Here is a 24,765-nt window from a genome sequence, read left to right on the forward strand (position 1 = left end):
TCTAAAAAATGTATTTTTTGAATACTTAAATTAAAATCCTGTTCCATAGGCAGATTGTAGTGGCAGTTATAAGAATCTATAAATGTGTTAAAATTCATAGAACTAGGCTGGGCATGGTGGCTTACACCTGTAATCCCAGCACTTTGGGAGACCAAGGCAGGCAGATCACTTGAGGTCAGGAATTTGAGACCTGACTGGCCAACATGGAGAAACCCCATCTCTGCTAAAAATAGAAAAATTAGCCGGGTGTGGTAGTACACGCCTGATATCCAGGTCCTCAGGAAGCTGAGGCAGGAGAATCGCTTGAACCTACAAGGCAGAGGTTGCAGTGAGCCAAGGTGTCGCCACTGCACTCCAGCCTGGGCGACAGAGTGAGACTCTTGTCTCAAAAATAAATAACCCCATGTTCTCACTCTTAAGTGGGAGCTGAACAATGAGAACACATGGACACAGGGAGGGGAACATTATACACTGGGGCCTGTCAGTGGGTGGGGGGCAAGGGGAGGGAAAGCATTACGACAAATACCTAATGCGTACGGGACTTAAAACCTAGACGAGGCTGGGCGCAGTGGGTCATGCCTGTAATACCAGCACTTTGGGAGGCCAAGACAGGTGGATCTTGAGGTCAGGAGTTCAAGACCAGCCTGGCCAACATGGTGAAACCCCGTCTCTACTAAAAACACAAAAAAATTAGCCGGGTGTGGTGGCGGGCGCCTGTAATCTCAGCTACTCAGAAGGTTGAGGCAGGAGAATCGCTTGAATGCAGGAGGCGGAGGCTGCAGTGAGCCGAGATCACACCACTGCACTTCAGCCTGGGCGACAGAGCCAGACTCCATCTCAAAAAAAAAAAAAAAAAAACCAAACCAAACCTAGATGACGGGTTCGTAGGTGCAGCAAACCACCATGGTACATGTATACCTATGCAACAAACCTGCATGTTTTGCACATGTATCCCAGAACTTAAAGTAAAATTAAAAAAAATATATTTCTATCAAAAAATAAATTCATAGAAATCCATATCAAATAAGTCAATACTACTGCATGTTAATTTTCAAAACTAAACTAAAAAACATGTACAGAGCAGCTCTAGAATACATTAGAAGCTTGTAGTAGAAGTTAACTCTTAGAAATGGGTGTCTAGGCCGGGCGCGGTGGCTCACGCCTGTAATCCCAGCACTTTGGGAGGCCGAGGCAGGCGGATCACGAGGTCAGGAGATCGAGACCATCCTGGCTAACACGGTGCAACCCCGTCTCTACTAAAAATACAAAAAATTAGCCAGGCATGGTGGCTGGTGCCTGTAGTCCCAGCTACTCAGGAGGCTGAGGCAGGAGAATGGTGTGAACCCAGGAGGCGGAGCTTGCAGTGAGCCGAGACAGCACCACTGCACTCTGCCTGGGCGAAAGAGTGAGACTCCGTCTCAAAAAAAAAAAAAAAAAAAAAAATATATATATATATATATATATATATATATATATATATATACAGCCTACCTCTCATATCTCTTAGACACTCATTTCTTTTTTTTGTTTTTTTGAGATGGAGTCTCACTCTGTCACCTAGGCTGGAGTGCAGTGGCACCATCTCGGCTCACTGCAACCTCCGCCTCCCGGGTTCAAGACATTCTCCTGCCTCAGCCTCCTGAGTAGCTGGGACTACAGGCACCCACCACCACACCTGGCTAATTTTTGTATTTTTAGTAGAGATGGGGTTTCACCATATTGGCCAGGCTGGTCTTGAACTCCTGACCTTGTGATCTGCCCACCTCGGCCTCCCAAAGTGTTGGGATTACAGGCGTGAGCCACCGCGACTGGCCGAGGTAGGCTATTTTTAACTGCATTTTTTTCTTTTGAATTTCATACTTACTGCATTTTAAAATAAAATTCAAAATATTTAATCAGAAATTTACTTTATTTTTTATTTTTTTGAGACAGAGTCTTGCTGTGTCACCCAGGCTGGAGTGCTGTGGCACGATCTCAACTCACTGCAACCTCTGCCCCCTGGGTTCAAGTAATTCTTGTGCCTCGGCCTCCCAAGAAACTGGTATTACAAGCATGCACTACCAGGCTCGGCTAATTTTTGTTTGGTTGTTTTTGTTGTTGTTGTTGTTGTTGTTGTTGTTGTTTTGAGACAGAGTCTCATTCTGTTGCCCAGGCTGGAGCACAGTGGCGTGATCTCAGCTCACTGCAACCTCCACCTCCCAGGTTCAAGCGATTCTCCTGCTTCAGCGTCCCGAGTAGCTAGGACTATAGGCAAATGCCACCACACCCAGCTAATTTCTGTATTTGTAGTAGAGACAGGGTTTCACTGTGTTAGCCAGGATGGTCTTGATCTCCTGACTTCGTGATCCGCCCGCCTCGGACTTCCAAAGTGCTGGGATTACAGGTGTGAGCCACCATGCCAGACCAATTTATTTATTTATTTATTTTTTAGCAGAAACAGGGTTTCGCCATGTTGGCCAGGCTAGTCTCGAACTCCTGGCCTCAAGCAATTTGCCTGCCTCAGCCTCCCAAAGTGCTGGGATTACAGGTGTGAGCCACCATGCGCAGCCCAGAAATTTATTTTAAATGGCGTTGATTCAAACATACATTTAGTTTTCATTTTAAAAGCTCAAAGGTAAACACAAAATAACATCAAAATATCCATTAAGGTTATATGAAACTTTTTAAAGCTTAAAGTAACAGACCACCTAATTTTCTTGCCTGGCTTCTCAATATTTGACACCAGAGTCACACTTTTGCTGCTGAAAAGTTGGCTACAAAAAACACGGGCAAACCAGGTGTGGTGGGTGGTTCACACCAGGTGGGTAGGTAGTAATCCCAATGCTTTGGGAGGCCAACTCTGACACATTATTATTAACTAAAGTCCATACTATATTCAGATTATCTTAGACTTCCTCTAATGGTCTTTTTCTGTTCTAGGATCCCACAGAGGATACCACATTACATTTTGTTGTCATGTCACTTTAGGCTTCTTTTGGCTGTGAGTTTCAAAAAACTTTTAAAAAGTAAAACTTAATGTTGTAATTGTCATGTTAAATTTCGCCCTAATTTGATATTTCAATGTATCATAAGTGCTATGATGTGTCCTGCAGCATAGTGGGACCCTCTGTCTAACTTTTATTATGTATTTGTTTGTGATTCAATCTCAGCTCACTGAAGCCTCAACCTCCCAGGCTCAAGTGATCCTCCCACCTCAGCTCCCCAAGTGCTGAGACCACAGGCACATGCCACCATGCCTGGCTACATTTTTTTGTATTTTTTTTAGAGACTGGGTTCCATCATGTAGCCCAGAATGGTCTCGAACTCCTGAGCTCAAGAGATCGCCCGCCTCAGCCTCCCCAAGTGCTGGGATTACAGGTGTGAGCCCACCATGCCAAGCCTGTTTTTATTTTCTGAGACAAGGTCTCACTCTGTCATCCATGTTGGAGTGCAGTGACACAATCTTGGCTCACCGCACCTCCTGGGCTCAAGTGATTCTCCCACTTCAGCCCCCCAAGTGGCTGGGACTACAGGTGCAAGCCACCACACCCGTCTAATGTTTTCATTTAAAAATTTTTTTTTGTAGACTTGGAGTCTTGCCATGTTCCCAGCATGGTTTCAAACCCCTGGTCTCAGGTGATCCCCCTGCTTCGGCCTCCAAAAGTGCTAGGATTATAGGCTTGAGCCACAGCGCCTGGCCTTTACTAATGTTTGATTTTCTGTTTATTTTTGAGATAGGGTCTCGCTCTGTCACTCAGGCTGGAATGCAGTGGCACAATCTCGACTCACTGCAGACTCCGTCTCCTGAGCTCAAACGATCCTCCCACCTTGGCCTCCCAAAGTGCTGGGATTCCTGCTGTGAGCCATCCCGCCCAGCCTCTAATAAAGTTTTTAAAAGCAAATCTGGCCAGGCTACCATTCCCTCAATGAGAGTGTCCCCACACTCTTCCTATGCCCCCAGCCCTAAGACCAACTCACTTAACTCACTTTTACTTTGAAGTCTTGTCTGACACTCCTTCTCTGTGCTCCTTTAGCTTTATGTTTATACCTTCGTTATGGTACTTGTACTGTGACTCCCTGTTTACTTATCTCCTCTACCATAAAGCATGTTCTTTAAGTCCAGGTACTCTTTCTTCATCTATATGCCCTATATAAGAACATTTTCTAGTACACTAGTGAATATTATGTGTTTATTTAGAATAACTAAAGGTCTCCCTGTCACCCAAGCTACGGGGCAGTGGTGCAATCACAGCTCACTGCAGCTTCTACTTCCTGGGCTCAACTGATTCTCCTACCTCAGCCCCCCAGGTAACTGGGACTACAGGCATGTATTAGCACACCTGGCTAATTTTTGTTTGTTTAATGTGGTTTTTGTTTTGTTTTTGGTAGAGACGGGGTTCCACCATGTTGCCTATGTAAATAAAATGAAAAGAGGCTGGTTCATACAAGACAGTTTTTATTTTATTCAAGTTAACCAAGGTAAAGACTCAGTTCTTTCACATTCTTGCTCTTGCCCATTCCCCTTTCTCCATTTTTTCCATTTCTTTTCTTTTCTTTCTTTTCTTTAACAGCCTGTGTTGCCCAGGCTGTTTTCAAACTTGGGCCCAAGCAGTCCTGCTGCCTCAGCCTCCAGAATAGCTGGGATTACAGGCACACAGTCTTTTAAAGGTGATTTGCATTGTTAAAATTATGCCCATTAAGGGCATTTTTTTGTAAAATGCTTTTCTTGAGACATTTTATTAGACTGAGCTCATAGGGAGAACTTAAAAAAAATTTTTTTTAACAATTTTTGTAATAACTTTAATCTTACCTCTAAATATGTCATCTAGTCTGATAGCCTGGTCACAGGTGAGGAAAGGTTGTGCAAGCAATGTCTTTAATTTTTTAGTATATTGTGGCCCCCTTTATTAAAATATACTACTAAACACAAATAATACAAATGTAAAATGGGTATTGTTAAAAGTTTAGGCCACACTGTAACAAGTAAAACATGAAAGAAAGCCCTCCTTTCTCCGTTTCATTTCTTAGAGGTAATCATTGTTTTCAATTTGTTACCTTTCAGTTTTTTAGTAAAGTTTTAAATTACACATGCTCTTTGGAAGAAGTGCTTTAGAAATACTGAATATGAGTTTATTGTAATTATTAACTTTTGTGATTACTTTCAGATAGACAGACTTTATTTTTTCAAGCAGTTTTAGGTTTATCGCAAAGTTGAGCTGAAAGTATAGACACAGCATCCTGCACATTTATTATAATACATTTGCTACAATAGATGAACCAACATTGACACATCATTATCAGCCAAAGTCCATAGTACATTAAGATTCACTCTTGATGTAGTTCTATGAGTTTTGACAAATGTATACAGACATTTATCTACCATTATAGTATCATAGAGAATAATTTCACTGCTCAAAAAATCCACAGTGTCCACCTGTTCATCCCTTTATTTTCTTCCCCTCAAACTCCTGGCAATCACTGATCTTTTTACTGTTTCTACGGTTTTGCCTTTTCCAGGATGTCATATATTTGCAATCATTATGTAGCCTTTTCCAATTGGCTTCTTTCACATATTCTTGAATAAGTATCCAAGGTTCTTCCATGTCTTTTCCTGGCTTGATAGCTCATTTCTTTTTAGGGCTGAATAATATTCCATTGGTATACCACAGTTTACTTATCCATTCACCTACTGAAGGATATCTGGACTGCTGCCAAGTTTTGGCAATTACAAATAAAGAATGCTATAAACATCCATGTTTTTGGTTTTTGTGTAGACTTAAGTTTTCAGCTCCTTTGGTTAAGTACTAAGGAGTATGATTGCTGGATTGAACGGTAAAAAATAGGTTTAGGTTTGTAAGAAACTGCCAAACTGTCTTGTCTTCTCTTTCTCTTGATGGTGTCTTTTGCAGAACAGAAGTTTTAAATTTTAATAAAGTCTAACTTACCAATTATTTCTTTCATGGGTGTGCCTTTGGTTTTCCATCTGAAAAGTTATCACCAACCCCAGTGACACCTAGTATTTTGTTTACTTTTACTTGGTGTTCCTGTCATTGTGATGAGACTACATTTATGTTGGGGGTAGGTGGAAAATGTTTTGTGCTTCACTACCAGGGATTAGTGATTGCTGTTAATATTTTATTTTTACAGCAAAATATGAGGGAGTTGATGGTGTTTATGTTTTTGTGTTAACGTTAAAGAAACCAATTAGCTTTTTTTTTTTTTTTTTTGAGACGGAGTCTCGCTCTGTTACCCAGGCTGGAGTGCAGTGGCGCGATCTCAGCTCACTGCAACCTCCGCCTCCTGGGTTCAAGCGATTCTCCTGCCTCAGCCTCCCAAGTAGCTGGGACTACAGGAGTGCGCCACCACATCCGGGCTAATTTTTTGTATTTTCAGTAGAGAAGGGGTTTCACCATGTTAGCCAGGATGGTCTCAATCTCCTGACCTCGTGATCCACCTGCCTCGGCCTCCCAGAGTGCTGGGATTACAGGCATGAGCCACCGTGCCTGACCCTTTTTTTTTTTTTTTTTTTTTAAGACAGAGTCTCACTCTGTCGCCCAGGCTGGAGTGTTGTGGCGCAATCTCAGCTCACTGCATCTTCTACTTCCTGAGTAGCTGGGACTACAGGTGTGCACCACCACGCCAGACCAATTTATTTTATTTTATTTATTTTTTTGAGATGGAGTCTTGCTCTGTCACCCAGGCTGGCGTGCAGTGGCATGATCTCGGCTCACTGCAACCTTCGCCCCCTGGGTTCAAGCAATTCTCCTGCCTCAGCCTCCCAAGTAGCCTGGGATTACAGGTGCGTGCCACCAAGCGTAGCTAACTTTTTGTATTTTTAATAGAGACGGGGTTTCACCATGTTGGCCAGACTGGTCTCGAACTCCTGACCTCAGGTGATCTGCCTGCCTCGGCCTCCCAAAGTGCTGGGATTACAGGTGTGAGCCACCACACATGGCCCATGATAATTGTATTATAGTTAGTGTATGGATACTGTAGTAGGGAATATAGTGAGTGGTATACCAAAATTCTCTTGTACTATTTTTGTAACTATTCTACAAATCTAAAATTACTTTAAAATAAAACAAAAAACAGGCCAGGCACGGTGGCTCATGCCTGTAATCCCAGCACTTCATGAGGCCGAGGCGGGTGGATCACCTGAGGTCAGGAGTTCATGACCAGCCTGGCCAACATGGTGAAACCCCATCTCTACAAAAATAAAAAAATTAGCTGGGCATGATGGCGGGTGCCTGTAATCAAACTGCTTGAACCCGGGAGGCAGAGGTTGCAGTGAGCCAAGATTGCCCCATTGCACTCCAGTCTGAGGGACAGAGTGAGACTCCCATCTCAAAAAAAACAAAAACAAAAACAAACAAAAAGTAAAACAAAAAACCTTCCAGTTATGGAATAATCTCCAGGACATACAATTAAGAGGAAAAAATCAAACTGCTAGAAAATGTGCTTGCATGCTACCCTTTGGGAAAGTTAAGAGTGCATAATGCTTAGTATATGGATAATATACTAAGCACTCTGTGAAAGAACCACCATGCAATTGGAAATAGTGGGGTTGTCTTTGGGAAGGTTAACTAAGTGGTTTTCTTTTCACTCTGAATCCTTTTGTCCCCACCCCCTCTTTTTTGTTTTTTTTTTTTGAGATGGAGTCTCTGTCACCCAGGCTGGAATGCAATGGTGCCATCTTGGCTCACTGCAACCTACCCCTCCTGGGTTCAAGCAATTCTCCCACCTTAGCCTCCCAAGTAGTTGGGATTACAGGCACCCGCCATCATGCCTGGCTAATTTTTGTATTTTAGTAGAGACGGGATTTCACCATGTTGGCCAGGCTGGTCTTGAACTCCCGACCTCAGGTGATCCGCCCGCCTCGGCCTCCCAAAGGGCTGGGATTACAGGCGTGAGCCACCGCCCCCAGCTGCCTTTTGTCCCTTTTGAATGTTATACTAGAAAAACAAAAAGAGGAAGGAGGAAAAATGTGATTTCAAACCCCAAGGGCACAACTATAATAATAGTAGTAGTAATGATGACAATGATAGTAGTGGTGATATTTTATTTCTTGCCTCCTAACCCACCTCCCCACCAAAATTGAGTCATTCTGACAAACTTAGACTTATCAGGATCATTCTTTCTAAAAACATTCAGTATGGCGTCTGATTATCTGAAGGCCTCAACAGGATCTGAAAGGTATTTTTTGCTGCTGTACCTTCCCTTCAAAACCTCACTTAGATCTCTGAAATTCCTTTAGATCTAGATGATCATATATCATACAAACCACTTCGAGAATAAAATGGGGGGTAAGGCTGGGTGCAGTGGCTCACACCTATAATCCCAGCACTTTGGGAAGCCAAGTGGATCTCTTGAGCCCAGGAGTTCAAGACCAGCTGGGGAAACACAGGGACACCCTATCTTTACAAATTTTTTTTAATTTTTGTAAAAATTTTTTTTAATGATGGTGTGCACCTGTAGTCTCAGCTATTCAAGAGCCTGAGTGGGGAGGATCCCTTGAGTCCAGGAGTTGGAGGCTGCAGTAAGCTATGATCTTGTCACTTCAGTCCAGCCTGGGTAACAGAGCAAGACCTTGTCTTAGAAAAAAACAAAAAAAGAAAAAACAAAAGATGCTAACAGTAATTATTCCAAGACAAAAGGTATAAACTAAAACTCATGGTTATCCTAATAAAAATTCATAGGTCCTATATTACAGCATTCCTAAAATTTAGTTTTAATGACTGCTTGTAGGTATGAGCTGAGGGAGGTAAAAAATAAAATTTAAATTTAAAAAAATGATGACTGCTTGGAACACTTATTTCATTATCTAAATCAACACTTCCTTTCTGAATACTATATGCTTTCAAAGTTGAAATATAGTTTTTCATTTATGCTGATCAGGAATTTAAGTTCAAAAGGGTCAGACTGGAAGCAATCTAGCTTTTCTAAAAAAAAAAAAAAAGTATTAGATTTTAAATTATATGCATACACCCAACTGACTTTCCTTCAACTGCCTCCACTCTCAAAAAAAACTTCAACTTGTGGCAGATCTAATGGCAAATGAATACAACCTGGCTGACCTGCTCTGCATGTTATTAAAATACACAGTAGCTCTAGTTCCTTACAAGTCAAGGATTCTACTTCCAAACACAGGACAAATGTGGAAACTTCTCTCTTACAAATTTGGTTGTGGTGATCATTTAAGTATCAATAAAGACAGGAATTGCCTTAAATTTATCCAGATAAATGAAATCTTATTATTTGCTAACTGGTGCTGATTCTGACGTCTACATAATCCCACAGCTGTATCCTTTATGTGATTAAACTATGTAGAAATTAGTAGAGACAAATTAGAGCTGGAGAAGAAGGAATTATTAGGACAAGTCAAAGATCACAATCAAGAGCCTATAATCTCAAAAAGCAAAACACAATACGAAACTCTAGAGAGATGTTCTTAGCCTCTTCCCTCTTCCTATAACTATTAAAATTTAATACAACTTCAGTCAGGCACGGTGGCTCATGCCGGTAATCCCAGCACTTTGGGAGGCCAAGGCAGGTGGATCACAAGGTCAGGAGTTCAAGACCAGCCTAGCCAAGATGGTGAAACCCTGTCTCTACTAAAAACACAAAAATCAGCCAAGTGTGGTGGTGGTCACCTGTAATCCCAGCTGCTTGGGAGGCTGAAGCAGAGAACGACTTGAATCTGGGAGGCAGAGACTGCAGTGAGCCGAGATTGCGCCACTGCACTCCAGCCTGGTGACAGAGCGAGACTCCGTCTCAAAAAAAAAAAAAAAAAAAAAATTCTTACAACTTCTTTGAAAAACATTTTTAAATGAATAATATTACTCAAAGTTGGTGGATATTGGCTGGGCATGGTGGCTTATACTTGTAATCCTAGCACTTTGGAAGGCAGGAAGATCACTAGAGGCAAGGAGTTCAAGACCTGCTTGGGCCACAAAAGAAGACTCCATCCCTACAAAAAATACAAAAAATTAAATTAACTGAATGTGGTGGTACACACCTGTAGTCCCAGCTACTCGGGAGGCTGCAATGGGAGGATTGCCTGAGTCCAAGAGGTCAAGAGTGCAGTAAGCAGTGATCGCAAATTTCCTGGGCAAATTTCCACATTCGTCCTGTGTTTGGAAGTACAATGAAATCCTGTCTCAATAAATAAATGTATGTATGTGCCTTTAAAAATGGAATTTAAAAAGAAAATGTCCCAGGAGAAAAAGCCTATCCAAAAAGAAATGGACATCCTGGGGATTATTAGTGTCATTTCACTAGTATACTTAAAATTTATTTCAATTTACAGCCAGACGTGGTGGCTCATGCCTGTAATCCCAGCAATTTAGGAGGCTGAGGTGGGTGGATCACCTGAGGTCAAGAGTTCAAGACCAGCCTGGCCAACATGGTGAAACCCCATCTCTACTAAAAATACAAAAAATTAGCCAGGCGTGGTGGCGGGCACCTGTAGTCCCAGCTACTCGGGAGGCTGAGGCAGGAGAATGGCGAGAACCTGGGAGGCGGAGCTTGCAGTGAGCTGAGATGGCTCCACTGCACTCCAGCCTGGGTGACAGAGTGAGACGTCTCAAAAAAAAAAAAAAAAGCGCCCGTAACCCCAGCACTTTGGGAGGCCGAGGCGGGAGGATCACAAGGTCAGGAGATTGAGACCATCCTGGCTAACACAGTGAAACCCTGTCTCTACCAAAAAAAAATTAGCCAGGCGTGGTGGTGGGCTCCTGTAGTCCCAGCTACTCGGAAGGCTGAGGCAGGAGAATGGCGTGAACCTGGGAGGCGGAGCTTGCAGTGAGCCGAGATGTAGTCACTACAATCCAGCCTGGGCGACAGAGCAAGACTTCGCCTCAAAAAAATAAAAAACTAAGGACAAAAAAAAAAGAGGGGGAGATACCACCACCTAGTTTGGAGAGTTACTTGGATTAGATAAATATCTTCGAAATGTCTTTGCACCAGACCTGACATGTAATATAGCTGGCAACAAACAGTAGCTGATACTACCCTCACCATATATCACAGTAGTCAACTTTTATAAAGGTGTAATGGTCAAGGATAAGCTTGTAGAACCCTAACTTGAGAGTATCCAGTAGAAATACCATTCTCCTCTCCAATCTATTATTTTACTGGAACAAATGAACAAAATGGAATTTTGTCTTGTTTTCTTATCCTTTTATGATGCCACGATAACAATCAGGTACTCACTAATGTTTGGAAAATGGAATGGGATTATCTGCTAGACCCACAGACAGTGAAAAGACAAGCAAGAAGTCATAAATGACCAATTAAACCACTGGTTTATAACCAATTAAACCAATGGTGGTAAGCCATTAGGTTTTTTTTTTTTTTTTTAAGACAGAGTCTCATTCTGTCACCCAGGCTAGAGTGAGTGGCAGAATCCTGACTCACAACAACCTCTGCCTCCTGGGTTCATGCAATTCTCCTGCCTCAGCAGCCTCCCCTCCGCAGTAGGTGGGACTACAGGCATGCACCACTATGCTCAGCTAATTTTTGTATTCTTAGTAAAGACAGGGTTTTGCCATGTTGGCCAGGCTGGTCACAAACTCCTGAACTCAGGTTATCCACCCACCTTGGCCTCCCAAAGTGCTGGGATTACAGGCACGAGCCCCCACGCCTGACAACTATTGGTTTTTAATACTGAGATGTTCTGAAACAAAAATTATAATCTTTAATAAGCATACCAACTATTTTCTACCAGTTTATTAACTGGTACAAAATGCTGCCATGTATTAAAGAAGTACAATGTTTTGCATACTGGAGATAATACCAACACTTTACATACCACAATCTATATACCACAGTACATATACCTTGAAGAGAGGCCAATCTATATACCACAATAAACAGAATACTATACAAGAAATCAGCCAGGCTCGATGGCGTGCACCTGTAGTCTCAGCTACTAGGGAGGCAGAGGTGGGAGGATGGTGTGAGCCCAGGAGTTCAAGTCCAGCCTGGGCAATGTAACAAAATTCCGTCTCTTTTATTTAAAAAGGAAAGAACAAAAGAAGTCAAAAGAGCAAAGTTCAAACTTCAGTTCTGCACTAGGCAAAATAATTTATCTGGGCCTCAGTTTCTTCATCTTCAAAATAGGATTAGTACCTCTTCTATTTACTTCACTGAATTATTAGAAGAACCAGAAAAGAACATTATATAAGAGGCATTTATTAAACCATGACAGTATACAACTATACCATATTACCATTCTCATAACCAGGTCAGATTATCTTTGTAACATCCTGGTGCCTCAGTTCCTTAACTTCCTTTCCTACAATGATCTTGCTCTCCATTCTGCCTTAATGATGTACTCTCATGTTCATTAACAATAATCTCAACCCTTCTATTAATATAAACCCTATTTCAAACATTGTGTTCTACGACCACCACCTTCTACCTTTCTAGCTCATTCCCTACAGTACTCCCACTCTAACAAGTCTTAAACCCCATCAGAATCTACAATCCATTGATCCTACCAATTTTTCACCCTCTCACTACCTACATTGCTGCCACCACCCCCACTCCCAGAAGTCCTCATTCATCTCCTTACCACGCTTAAAATCACATGGTCCGGCCGGGCACGGTGGCTCACACCCGTAATCCCAGCACTTTGGGAGGCCGAGGTGGGTGGATTACCTGAGGTCAGGAGTTCGCGACCAGCCTGGCCAACATAGTGAAACCCTGTCCCTATTAAAAATACAAAAATTAGCCGGGCATGTTGGCATGCACCTGTAATCCCAGCTACTTGGGAGGCTGAGGCAGGAGAATCATTTGAACCCGCGAGGCAGAGGTTGCAGTGAGCCAAGACTGCACCATTGCACTCCAGCCTGGGCAATGAGAGCGAAACTTCACCTCAAAATAAAAGAAAGAAATCACATGGTCCATTATTGTAATCACTCCTCGTATACACCCTCTACTCCTTTGCTCCTATTCACATTAACTCTGGTTAAGAGAGACTGGTTATCAGCACTTTAACTATATGGGTATAGCACATCTAACAAACTATAGCTGAATTAATCTTCCTATAAGAAAGAGGGCTTTGACTGTCTATCCCTCAGCTTAAGAACCTTAAATAGCTAGTGCATGCCTGCTTACAGCATTAAAATAAAATTTATCTTTGCAGCCCTAGTCTTCACTTTTTCCCTATGCCCAATCATTAATTCATTGTCCTAAAAAAACAAATTCTGTTTGTTCCACTTCTTTACTTTTGTCCTGGCTATTTTTTCCAACTGAGTGTACTTCCATTCACTTGAAGGATGCAATCCCATCCTTCAAGATCCAGCTTAAATGCTAACTTCTTCATAAAAGCATGCCCAGGCCAACACGGTGGCTCACACCTGTAATCCCAGCACATTGGGAGGCCAAGGCGGGCAGATCACTGGAGGTGGGAGTTCAAGACCAGCCTGACCTACATGATGAAACCCCATCTCTACTAAAAATACAAAAATTAGCCAGGCGTGGTAGTGGGCACCTGTAATCCCAGTTACTCGTGAGGCTGAGCCACGAGAATTGCTTGAACCCAGGAGGTGGAGGTTGCAGTGAGCTGAGATCATGCCACTGCATTCTAGCCTGGGCAACAGAGCAAGACTCTGTCTGAAAAAAATAAAATAAAATAAAAGCATGTCCAATCATCCCACTTTAAGGATTCTCTCCTTTACTTAGAGTTATGCATTTATTAGCTATACTGTTTTTCTGATAATCATGCTGGTTTTTCTGATAATCATGCTGGTCTTATGAATAATAAACTAAACCTTACTACTTATGTTATCTCTCCAACTAAAATGAAAACTCCTTGAAAACAAAAACACTTCTTAACAAACTACCCGCACAGAAATACTTACACTACAATACGTACTTCTTCGTACAACCACTATTCAAACACTGTTTTATTTAATTAAGTTTTCAAAAATTAGTCTATATTCTAGAAACTATTCTAAAGGTAAATATACCCCTTGTTATTGCTCGCACAGATGATACCCTAGTACAATATTAAACCAATTAAATTTTCAACCACTTTTGCCCTTTCTTTAAAGATACCTCATAATTTCACTCATAGCTCTATTCATAGCAACAAGGGAAATTACTGACACTACAGCATACAATCCACAAGCATTAGCTTTAATTTCTTTTTTTGTTTTGTTTGGTTTTGAGATGGAGTCTCACTCTGTTACCCAGGCTGGAGTGCAATGGCACAGTATCGGCTCACTGCAACCTCCACCTCCCAGGTTCAAGAGATTCTCCTGCCCCAGCCTCCTGAGTAGCTGGGACTACAGGAGCGCACCACCACACCCAACTAATTTTTTGTATTTTTAGTAGAGATGGGTTTTCACCATGTTGGCCAGGCTGGTCTCGAACTCCTGACCCCGTGTGATCCACCTGCCCTCAGCCTCCCAAAATGCCGGGATTATAGGCGTGAGCCACCGCGCCCAGCCTACCTTTACTTCTTCTATAGTCAAGACCTACAGTATCAAAATAATTTCTTGATTTTGATCAGCACTGCCTACAAAAATGATGAAAAAGTAAGCTCCTCTTTTCTTATTAACTCTGGAAGAATAATGTTATGGGGGCTATAAGACAGGTACTGACTTTTCCAACAATGTCATTATTAAAATGTCAGAAAACTCTATGACTTTTTTCTATTACAACTTTAAACCTGTAAAGCTATTTTGTGTCTCAATTCTATGAAACAGTAAGATGAATTAGAATTCCTCTTTGAAATCAATGTAATTACCAAAGAGTCACAAGGATGACAACAAACAACTGGAACTTCATGAGATGAGACCAAATGCGTATTACAAAGACACTTTCTGGTTGCTTGAGTGACACGCACACAGGAATTATTGTACCTCAAAACTATCACAAGAAGAATTAAAGCAAATGGCAGGATACTCCTGTTTTGCTCACTAACAACTTTTATTCCTTACTATCTATGGGGCTTACTAAATAACAGTTACGTGCTACTCATCTGTGTACAATGTCAGAACAACTTTAGTTGCTTTTTCTTCCTAAATTAGGAATAAAATACTAAACATATTTGTTTAAATTCCAAAGAAATCATTTGGTATAAGAACGACCATACATTATACACCTTCTTTCAGCCTGGGCATATTTAACTTTTTGCATTGACTAATACGATATGCATTAAGCACATTTGCTTAGACCTCCAGAGTTAAATGGACAATTCACTTTTTATAAGTGGAAAATTATTACAACATCTTCTGGTATTCACTGCAATATCAAATCAATGACTTCTTTCAGTATTTGTGGTGGTCATCTGTAATTCCTTTGGTAATTACCATGAATCTGCTTTCACTTAATGCTAAATGGTAATGCTAATATGAAAAGAAAATTAATGCCAGACTTACAAGCAAAAGTACCAAGTTGTTTCAGGGAAGGAATTTTAATAGAACTCACGAACTGGAATCTATCTACTTCAAGCTAGAAACCATTTTCATTAATAAAATACTAGAAACTAAGTCACAAGAGCAAAAATGAAAACTTTACATAGGTTTCTGATTCATAATTAAGATCTCATGAACTTCTGCTACGCTTTCAGAAAATGGCAATCTTGGCCAGGTACAGTGGCACATGCCTGTAATCTCAACACTTTGAGGGGCCGAGGTGGGAGGATAGCTTGAGCTCAGGAGTTTGAGACCAGCCTGGGCAACATGGAGAAACCCCATCTCTACAAAAATGAAAAAAATTAGCAGGGCTTGGTGACACACCTGTAGCCCCAGGTACTCAGGAGGCTGAGGTGGGAGGATCACTTGAAGCTGGGAGGTCAAGGCTGCCAGGAGCCATGATCGCGTCACTGCACTCCAGCCTGAGTGACAGAGTGAGACCTTGTCTCAAAAACGAATTTTTTATTTAAAAAAATTAAATTTAAAAAAGTCTTGACCACATCAAAAAAACAGACTGTCAGCTGGGTGCAGTGGTGCATGCCTGTAATCCCAGCACTTTGGGGGGCTGAGGTGGGAGGATCGCTTGAGCCCAGGAGTTCAAGACCAGCCTGGGCAACAAGTTGAAACCCCGTCTCTAAAAAAAGTACAAAACTTAGCCAGTCATGGTGGTACATTCCTGTAGTCCCAGCTACTTGGGAGGCTGAAGCGGGAGGATTGCTTGAGCCCAGGAGGTGGAGACTGCATGAGCCAAGATCCCACAACTGTACTCTAGCCTGGACAAAAGAGCCAGACACTGTCTCCAAAAAAAAAAGAAAAAAAGAAAAGAAAAACAGACTGTCCTTTTAAAAATTTTTATCATGTACCCAGATAGACAGAAATCACATGGAAATGTATCTCAATTATGAAGCAGCACAATCAGGATAGCTTATTACATATGTATCTTGAAATATTTTTAAGTCACAAATTTTAGCTTTGGTTATACAATTTATCATAAAGACATGAGAAACTGTGATGAAAGAATCCCTTTGCAGTACTCTAATGAGAACTGTGTTACATGTATAGAAGAAAGGGAAAGGTACAACAGGAGTACCTGTTTTTCTATCATTTTGACTGTATTGTAAGAGCCCTGAAATAATACTCGGCATAATACTCTATTTGTCCAGATCTGTTTCTTCCTGCCTCCCATGCCTACTTTGAAAACAAATAATATACATCATCACATGAAGTCCTCTGATCACAGTTCTTCCCAACCCCAATCTTTCCTAATTACAACTTAAGTCTCTCTCTGTGATGTTGAGATGTCCTTGATATGTCCCACATTTGAAAAGTGATTATATACCATTTACCCTTCAAATCACCTCCAGGGAAACTTCTCTTATGCTGACTTTACTTTGGTCACTCTCGATCTCCTAAGAATGTATTAACCAATGTCAATATCATTTTGCATTTGCTAACAATCATGTCAATTCAGCATCAGTATTTTGAAACTGGTACAGCCCTGATTCTAATCCTTTTCACTTATCATACTATGAGACAGGGAAGAGTAATGATTTTGTATAAATTTCAGTATCCCAAGCCAAACTGACATTAATTTTCACAGCTTGTGGCATTTCTTCCAGATTACGGGAGCGAGACATAGGAAAAACGATTTAAAACACTTGTCCATGTGTCATATCTGGCATACCTGAATTACAATGCCAACTATATTACATACAGAAAATACACTAATATGCTTCTGTGACTTAAATATCTTAAAACTATGAACCTCTTCACTTAATAGTCTCAACTAAGAATTTCCTAAGGGTCACATACTGGTTACATATGGAAACACAAAGAGGATTCCTACAAACATACTGCATAAATGTAATACATGACTAGCTTATTGCTATTTACCATTATGATTACTTACATAGATTACAGAAAGTTCTTGGGCAATTTCTGTATTTTTATTACGACCTTTAACATAGCATGTCTTGTTTCTCTTATCAACTTATCACTCACTGATCTATTACTGTAGTTCCTTTTCATTAGAAATAAAATGCAGAGGGCCAGGCGCGGTGGCTCAAGCCTGTAATCCCAGCACTTTGGGAGACCGAGGTGGGTGGATCACCTGAGGTCGGGAGTTTGAGACCAGCCTGACCAACAGGGTGAAACCCCGTCTCTACTAAAAAATACAAAAAAATTAGCTGGACATGGTGGGACATGCCTGAAATCCCAGCTACTCGGGAGGCTGAGGCAGGAGAATCACTTGAACCCGGGAGGCGGAGGTTGAGGTGAGCCAAGATGGTGCCATTGCACTCCAGGTGGGCAACAAGAGCGAAACTCCATCTCAAAAAAATAAATAAATAAATAAAATGCAGAGAACACTCGGAACACGAATCATCAGTCCTCTGCAGGTACATATACTAAAGAACATTTCCTCACCAGCATTCAGCTGCATCACCAATAATAGCTGCGCAACCATAAAATGCTAAGCACTGTTTCTTAATGGCACCGTATAGCTAGCTGTACATCACTGTACAAACAAAACTTTCTTTAATGAACCTGTAATCCAAAGTGTTGATTATCTTAAGTTATACATTTTCCATTAGTTTGTGTAACACTTCAATTTGGGAACAAATATATCTTAATCTGGTAAATGCTGGCAGAAGTAATATCTCATTCAGAAATTGAGGCCAGATTCTTAAAGGAGTAGTTAAAACTCTTAAAACATTTGTAAAAATAAATACATCAGCTTAGATTACAAAGATTTCCAAAGATTAAAAAAAAAAAAAACACTTAAAAGGCTAGACAAAAGAATGTCTAAACTAAAACAGGTAACAATATATCCTCTATGACACAATGTAATTTATCATTGTTGAAAGCCTCCCTAGAAGCCGTTGGGAGACCAGAAAGAGACAGATCTGGACAAAACCAAACAAAATAAAAACTGGAACTGTATCACCTTTCTAAAAGCTCCCTTATTCTTTGTCACCTATAAGTCTATCCTCCACATTTGATGACCCAATTACAGCTACATAAAATGTATAATTGTCAGCAGCAGACAGAATGGTCATGAGGACAAGTACAAGAATCCAAAAGCCAGTATGAATTTAGGCTCTGCCATTTAACAGATGTATGTAATTGGCTAAGTTACTTAATTCTCTGTGCCTCAGCTGAAAACGGCAGTAATAACAGTACCTACCTCGTAGGGTTATAGTGAAGACTATGAGATAAGACACATAAAGCCTGTGGAATAGGACCTGTTTGTTATTATAATAAAGTTACCAATTAAAAAAAGTTAGGTCCCTGATAATTATTAATCTCTATATACATGAGTGCTTCAAGTGGCATACCACTGTTAACTATAACTTTTCACTATATATACAAAATACCTTCGCAACTTTAGGTATTCACAAATTTTAATAGCCCAACTCCCTCACTCCATAATAATTTCAAGAGACATCAAACTCTCCAAAATTTGCACTTGATAAACCGGTAAAGAGTGAAGTTCTACAACTTTAAATCATCCTGCTAAATTAAAGGCAAAGAAAATAAGTCATCTCGAACTTACCAGAGAAGATGAACAATTTCCAGTGCTACAAGATCTGTTGAAAGCAACAAGATCTATCCACTGTGTTTGGAAACCTACTATGACTTGTTTTCAAGTATAGTCAGTGGCTTCACCCAAAACCTTAAAAGGAGGCCACGTTTAATTTTGAATAACCTGAAGCTGAAAATGTTTCAGATACATTATTCACAGGAGAATCCTATTACATTACATTCTCTCACCAATAATTTTGAATCAAAATACATCATTAAATGAAAGTCAATCTGTATTTTCCCTTTATTAAAACATCTAGAAAAATACCACTTTATTTTTCAATGAATGTACTTTAGAAATGTTAACATAATTTATAAAAGTTTTAACATCTTACAACTGTCTAAAAAGGTTTCCATTCCCAATACCCTATTTACCCAAAATGCTAGGACATCTGAATTTTAAAAACCAACATTTTCGGCCAGGCGCGATGGCTCACACCTGTAATCCTAGCACTTTGGGAGGCCGAGGCAGGCGGATCACGAGTCAGGAGTTCGAGACCAGCCTGGCCAATACGGTGAAACCCCATCTCTACTAAAAATACAAAAATTAGCCGGGTATGGTGGCGGGTGCCTGTAATCCCAGCTGCTTGGGAGGCTGAGGCAGAAGAATTGCTTGAACCCGGGAGGCAGAGGTTGCAGTGAGCCGAGATCGTGCCACTGCACTCCAGCCTGGGCGACACAGCGAGACTCCATTTCAAAAAAAAAAAAAATTTTTCCTGGCTGACCCAATTTAACAGGGGTTGGTTCTTTCAACATATAAGCAGAAAATGAAGTATACGTATCATCTTCAAAGGACTACCATGAAACCAAAATCGGGTTTTGCAATACCCAACTAAAGCATCAGAAGACAGGGTCATCTTACTTGGAAACTGAGTATTGAAAAAGTACAGGCTAACCCCCTGAATGTTTTTCAGGAAACAGCATTCACACTCTGCTATCCACAATTTTCAAAATCTTCATTAAAGGCCCTGAAAATCCTGTTTGCTAAGCCTGCTGGAATTCTGTGGTTGACAGTCATCTTCCCTCAAAACTTAACTGTCCATATTATCTATTTTCGATTTTATTAGGTCACCTTGAGATTATTCTCTCCTCTGAAAAGCATTTGCGGGCTTTAGTTATCAGTATGTCTCTACCGGTAATTTAAAAATCAATAAAGCTCATACACCTTGCAGCCAACTCATATTTTATAGTGCTTGCTAATATATATATATGTGTGTATATATATATATTTCTCAGGGATCAAAAGGCTAACATGAACTGCTTCAAACTTTGGTGAATCTGCATTATATCCTTAGAACATCCTGAGACTCTCCTGTATTGTGCTGCAGCTATACAGCAGGCGCATGATCACAAGGCTTTTTAACAGCCCCCAGATCCCTTACTGCTGCAAAACTTCTCATAAGCGTTCTATGTACTAGACTGTTAACAGTGCTGAGTTAAAATTGTTAAACTGCTTTACCTATTTATTTACCAATCCTATCATCTCAGGGAATTCAAACTCTTTAAACTGCCTTCTGAAACACATCTAGAGTGCTTTCGTACTGCTTTGAGTAGGATCTGCAGCGGGATAAAAACTTGAGTTCTGAGATTCATCCCGACCCAAATTGCAGTTGCCAGGATATGCGGTAGTAATGCAGTGTTTTTTTTTTTTTTTTGAGACTCTACGGATGTATTTTACCTAGAAATAGCCAATCTCTACTAAATCCCTTTTAGTCTTCGAGATTTCCGCGGTAACAATTTCAACAGAAAGGTATTTTCAACAGCGAAAAAACAAGTTATTCTAATTTGGCCTTTATTTTTTACTCAATAGAGCTTGCCATCGTAAGGGCATTTTTCCATACTAACATTTGCAATTGAAGAAAGAAAAATCAAGCTTTTGGCACTAGTGACCCCATGCGTGGACGGCCTATTATCATCACGCTTCTCACAAATCTTTCGAGATAGGATTTGAGGTTAGGCTCACATCGGATCATAGTCCAGTAACTTACTGCTTTCCAAGCCCAATTAACAGCCTAATAACAGCAACACTTATGCCCCGCGAAATCTCAATGTATGACTAACCAATAAGGCGTCTGATAGCGAAGGCAACCTTTTCCCAGGTAAGGAAGAGGAAAAGCAGACAATGAAAGGAATTGATTTATCACAGTGAAGAAAGAAAAGAGAAGGACCCCAAAAGGATCCGTGAGAGCAAAATCCCGGGGTTCGGAAGCCTTGGCCTCAGCAATACTCTCCCCCAAGCCCTCTCAGCCCAACCCAACCACCCCTCTTGTCCCCTGGGAGCCAGCCCTTCGCCGGCACAGATCGGGCAGACCTGGAGGGCACAGCCCCTCACACGGCGCTCAGGCCCGGTTCCGAAATCCGATGCCAAACAGGCGGAAGCCGCAAGCCCCGCGGCCTGAGTTTCAGGGGTAAGAGAATGCGGGTGCGAGGAGATGCGGCCTCCCTCAAGCCGGGAGGCCTCTTGAGAAAGCAGAGACGGGAGAAGAGCGAGCTGGTTCGCAAGTCGGAGCAAAACTGGAAGGAAAGAGGGCTGGGAGCCGGAGATGAAGGAGGTTCTGGGCTAGACCAGCGCCTTCCCCGCATCCTCGGCGACGCCCGTGTTTACCTGAAAGTCTCGGTCTTCGTTGAAGCGGGAGAAGCGGTCCGCCATTTTGCCGCCTTCACTCCTCTCAGGACGACGCTCTCCGGTTCGCTCCTTCCCTCCTGCGACACCCACCCCTCCCCGGTTCCCCGCCTCCTCCCACGCCCACCGGGCGCGCGCAGCCGAGGGAGGGAGCGAGAATGCGCGTCCTGACGGGAGCCCCGCGGCGCAGGCGCCTGCCAGCCCTGGAGGCTGACCCTTCCCTCTAGCCCCTGCTCCGCGCGCGACCCGGAGCGACCCCGGTGGCCGCGCGTGCGCACTCCCGCCCGAGAGCCGCGAGAGCTTCCGGAGGGAAAGGTCAGAGGGGGCACCGTGCGGACAAATCTGGATGTTTTGCTGTTGCTCACTTCCGGGTGTCTTTTCTCACTGTTGCTTCCCCGTGTGCGCAGAAGTCCATCGTCTTCACTAAATAGCAGCATAATGTTGGGCCGAAAGCGCGACCTTAGAGCCAGACTGCTTAGCTTCGAATCTCAGCTCACCCTGAGGATTCAACGGTGAACGAGACAGGAATGATCTCCTCTTATGGGGATTTCATTCCAGTGGAAGAACTCACATAACTCGTAAAATAAATATTTTTAAATATCAACAAGTGCCACAAAAAAGTAAAACTGGCCACAGTGCTGAGAGGGACAGTCTCTGAAAGGACCTTTGACCGAGGCACAGCGAGGAGCCTACAGCATTGGGGCATAGGGAACGTTAGACCCAAAGGCCCAAAGACTGCAAGGAGCTTGACTTCGAGCCATCCTTTGAGAGAAGTATTTCACAAGGGACCGAAGTTGATCCAGATCGACTAAAGCTCTCTGGGCTTCAGTTTCCTTTTTATACAATAGGGAAATTGGATTCAGTAATCTCTGATGCTCCTGCCTAGCGCTGACTATGAGAGTCAAGAATCGGATTTTTCCATCCCTTCTGAGGACCTCACCCAGTGCTCCAGGACTCTTAGCCAAAATACATAAAACACATAGAAGGGTGGCAGGACTTCTCTCCTTTTGAAAAGAGTAGTTGACAGAAATCACACAATGGAAAAATGGGTCTTACCCTGCCCTGAAAGAGTCAAATGGAATGTAATTTTTTGAGGAAGGGTGTGTATTTTCTAGCTGTTACCCTTTGCCCCACCCATGCTTCAGCCTACGCTTCCATCTAAGGGGAGGCAGGGCACACAGAATTCAAACATTGTATTCTTTTTTTTTTTTTTTTTTTGAGACGGAGTCTCGCACTGTCGCCGGAGTACAGTGGCGCAATCTCGGCTCACTGCAACCTCCGCCTCCCAGGTTCAAGAGATTCTCCTGCCTCAGCCACCCTAGTAGCTGGGATTACAGGCGCCCACCACTAAGCCCAGCTCATTTGTTTTTTTTTTTTTTTGAAAAGGAGTCTCACTCTGTCGCCCAGGCTGGAGTGCAGTGGCGCGATCTCGGCTCACTGCAAGCTCCGCCTTCCGGGTTCACGCCATTCTCCTGCCTCAGCCTCCCGAGTAGCTGGGACTACAGGCGCCCGCCACCAAGCCCGGCTAATTTTTTGTATTTTTAGTAGAGACGGGGTTTCACCGTGTTAGCCAGGCTGGTCTCGATCTCCTGACCTCGTGATCCGCCTGCCTCGGCCTCCCAAAATGCTGGAATTACAGGCGTGAGCCACCTCGCCCGGACTTTTTTTTTTTTTTTTTTTTTTGTATTTTTAGTGGAGGCGGGGTTCACCATGTTGGCAAGGCTGGTCTGGAACTCCTGACCTTGTGATCCGCCCGCCTCAGCCTCCCAAAGTGCTGAGATTACAGGCGTGAGCCACCGAGCCTGGCTCAAACATTGTAAAGAGACTTAAGGGTAGCGTGAAAGATTGAATCACGAGGATACACATCACACTGACCTCTTCTTCCTCTCAAAAGCCCACTGAAATGACAGCAGAGGAATAAGAAGTGCATAAATTCACATGGACAAAGAGACCTGGAGAAGAGACAATGGCAGACAACAGATGTCAACATTTTGGAGGCCAGAGAGCACAGATAAATGGAAATGACTTTAGTAGAGTGGAGAAAAAGAAGTCATAGAGTAGGAGAAGACAGGAAAGAAGTTGATCAATGCTAAAGTGCACCAGAAAGGCTCAGGAAGTAGAAGCCCCTGGTGCCACTGATGATTCGATGTCTCTTTTCCCACCCAGGTAGCAAACTAGAGGTTTTCCCTCTGGAAAGGCTGAACCAGAGAGACTGGACTTTATAGGTGAGAAGGAGCAACCATGCTGAAAATGGGAGGATATGGTAAAGCCTCCATTCTGGCCAGAGAGTCTGACTTCTCCAACAAAAGAACATAGGAACCCTCTCTAGAAAATTGACTAGCTTAGGGAAGAAAATGCTTCATGTACCAACAATGGGAGTGAGGGTAGGGAGGTGTCTTCCTACATAAAGATCATGTTCCTGCCCAAATACTCCACAGAGAAGTCCATCATTCAGGAAGCCCCATCCACACAGACCTTTCACTCAGCTTTTTAGTGCCTTGTTATGAATGGATAGCCAAAGAATGCCAGACATTTGAAGGGAACCTGTAACAGGAAAGATAGAAACACCCCCAGCCTGGGCATTGTAGTAAGACCCCAACTCTGCAAAAGAACTTTAAAACTAGGCGTGGTGGCATGCACCTGTGGTCCCAGCTACTTGGGAGGCTGAGGCAAGAGGATTGCTGAAGCCCAGGATTTGGAGGCTGCAGTGAGCTATGATGACAGCAACAGCCCCCCTCCCCCAAAAAACGAATTCAGAGGAACCAGAGATAATGAAAGGAACAGAAGAAACCATCAAAAGAATTATCAACATCCACGGAGACATTATATCACATCAGGGTACAAGGGAACACATCAGGAAATAAGAGACTGCATCAAGGGGCATGGGATGCCAAAAAAGAAAAAAGGATATTGAGTTTAAGAAAGAACTTTTGGCCGGCGCGGTGGCTCATGCCTATAGTCCCAGCACTTTGGGAGGCTGAGGCTGAAGCAGGCGGATTGCCTGAGGTCAGGAGTTCGAGACCAGTCTGGCCAACATGGTGAAACCCCGTCTCTACTAAAAATACAAAAAAATTAGCCGGGCGTGGTGGTGTGCACCTGTAATCCCAGCTACTCGGGAGGCTGAGGCAGGGGAATTGGGCGACAGAGCAAGACTCC

At 42.5% G+C, this 24,765-nt stretch overlaps 1 protein-coding gene across 6 annotated transcripts in view, besides 2 other annotated features; it reads right to left on the reverse strand.

Annotated features, from left to right (window-relative positions):
• Nucleotides 1-21,672, reverse strand: part of GPATCH8 (G-patch domain containing 8) — a 108,126-nt gene extending 86,454 nt beyond the window's left edge. For all 6 annotated transcript variants that reach the window (NM_001304939.2, NM_001304942.2, NM_001002909.4 and 3 more), the window contains exon 1: nt 21,592-21,672. In NM_001304939.2, coding sequence (NP_001291868.1) covers nt 21,592-21,636 — 45 coding nt within the window. In that variant the 5' untranslated portion in view covers nt 21,637-21,672. The remainder of the gene's footprint in view (nt 1-21,591) is intronic.
• Nucleotides 21,406-21,505: an enhancer, noted in NCBI's record as "active region_12263". NCBI's record gives its function as "activates an Ori minimal core promoter by ATAC-STARR-seq in GM12878 lymphoblastoid cells {active_cell/tissue: GM12878}" and the evidence as "EXISTENCE:reporter gene assay evidence [ECO:0000049][PMID:35858748]".
• Nucleotides 21,606-21,955: a silencer, noted in NCBI's record as "silent region_8593". NCBI's record gives its function as "represses an Ori minimal core promoter by ATAC-STARR-seq in GM12878 lymphoblastoid cells {active_cell/tissue: GM12878}" and the evidence as "EXISTENCE:reporter gene assay evidence [ECO:0000049][PMID:35858748]".

Source organism: Homo sapiens, chromosome 17 (assembly GCF_000001405.40).
Source record: "Homo sapiens chromosome 17, GRCh38.p14 Primary Assembly".
NCBI lineage: Eukaryota > Metazoa > Chordata > Mammalia > Primates > Hominidae > Homo > Homo sapiens.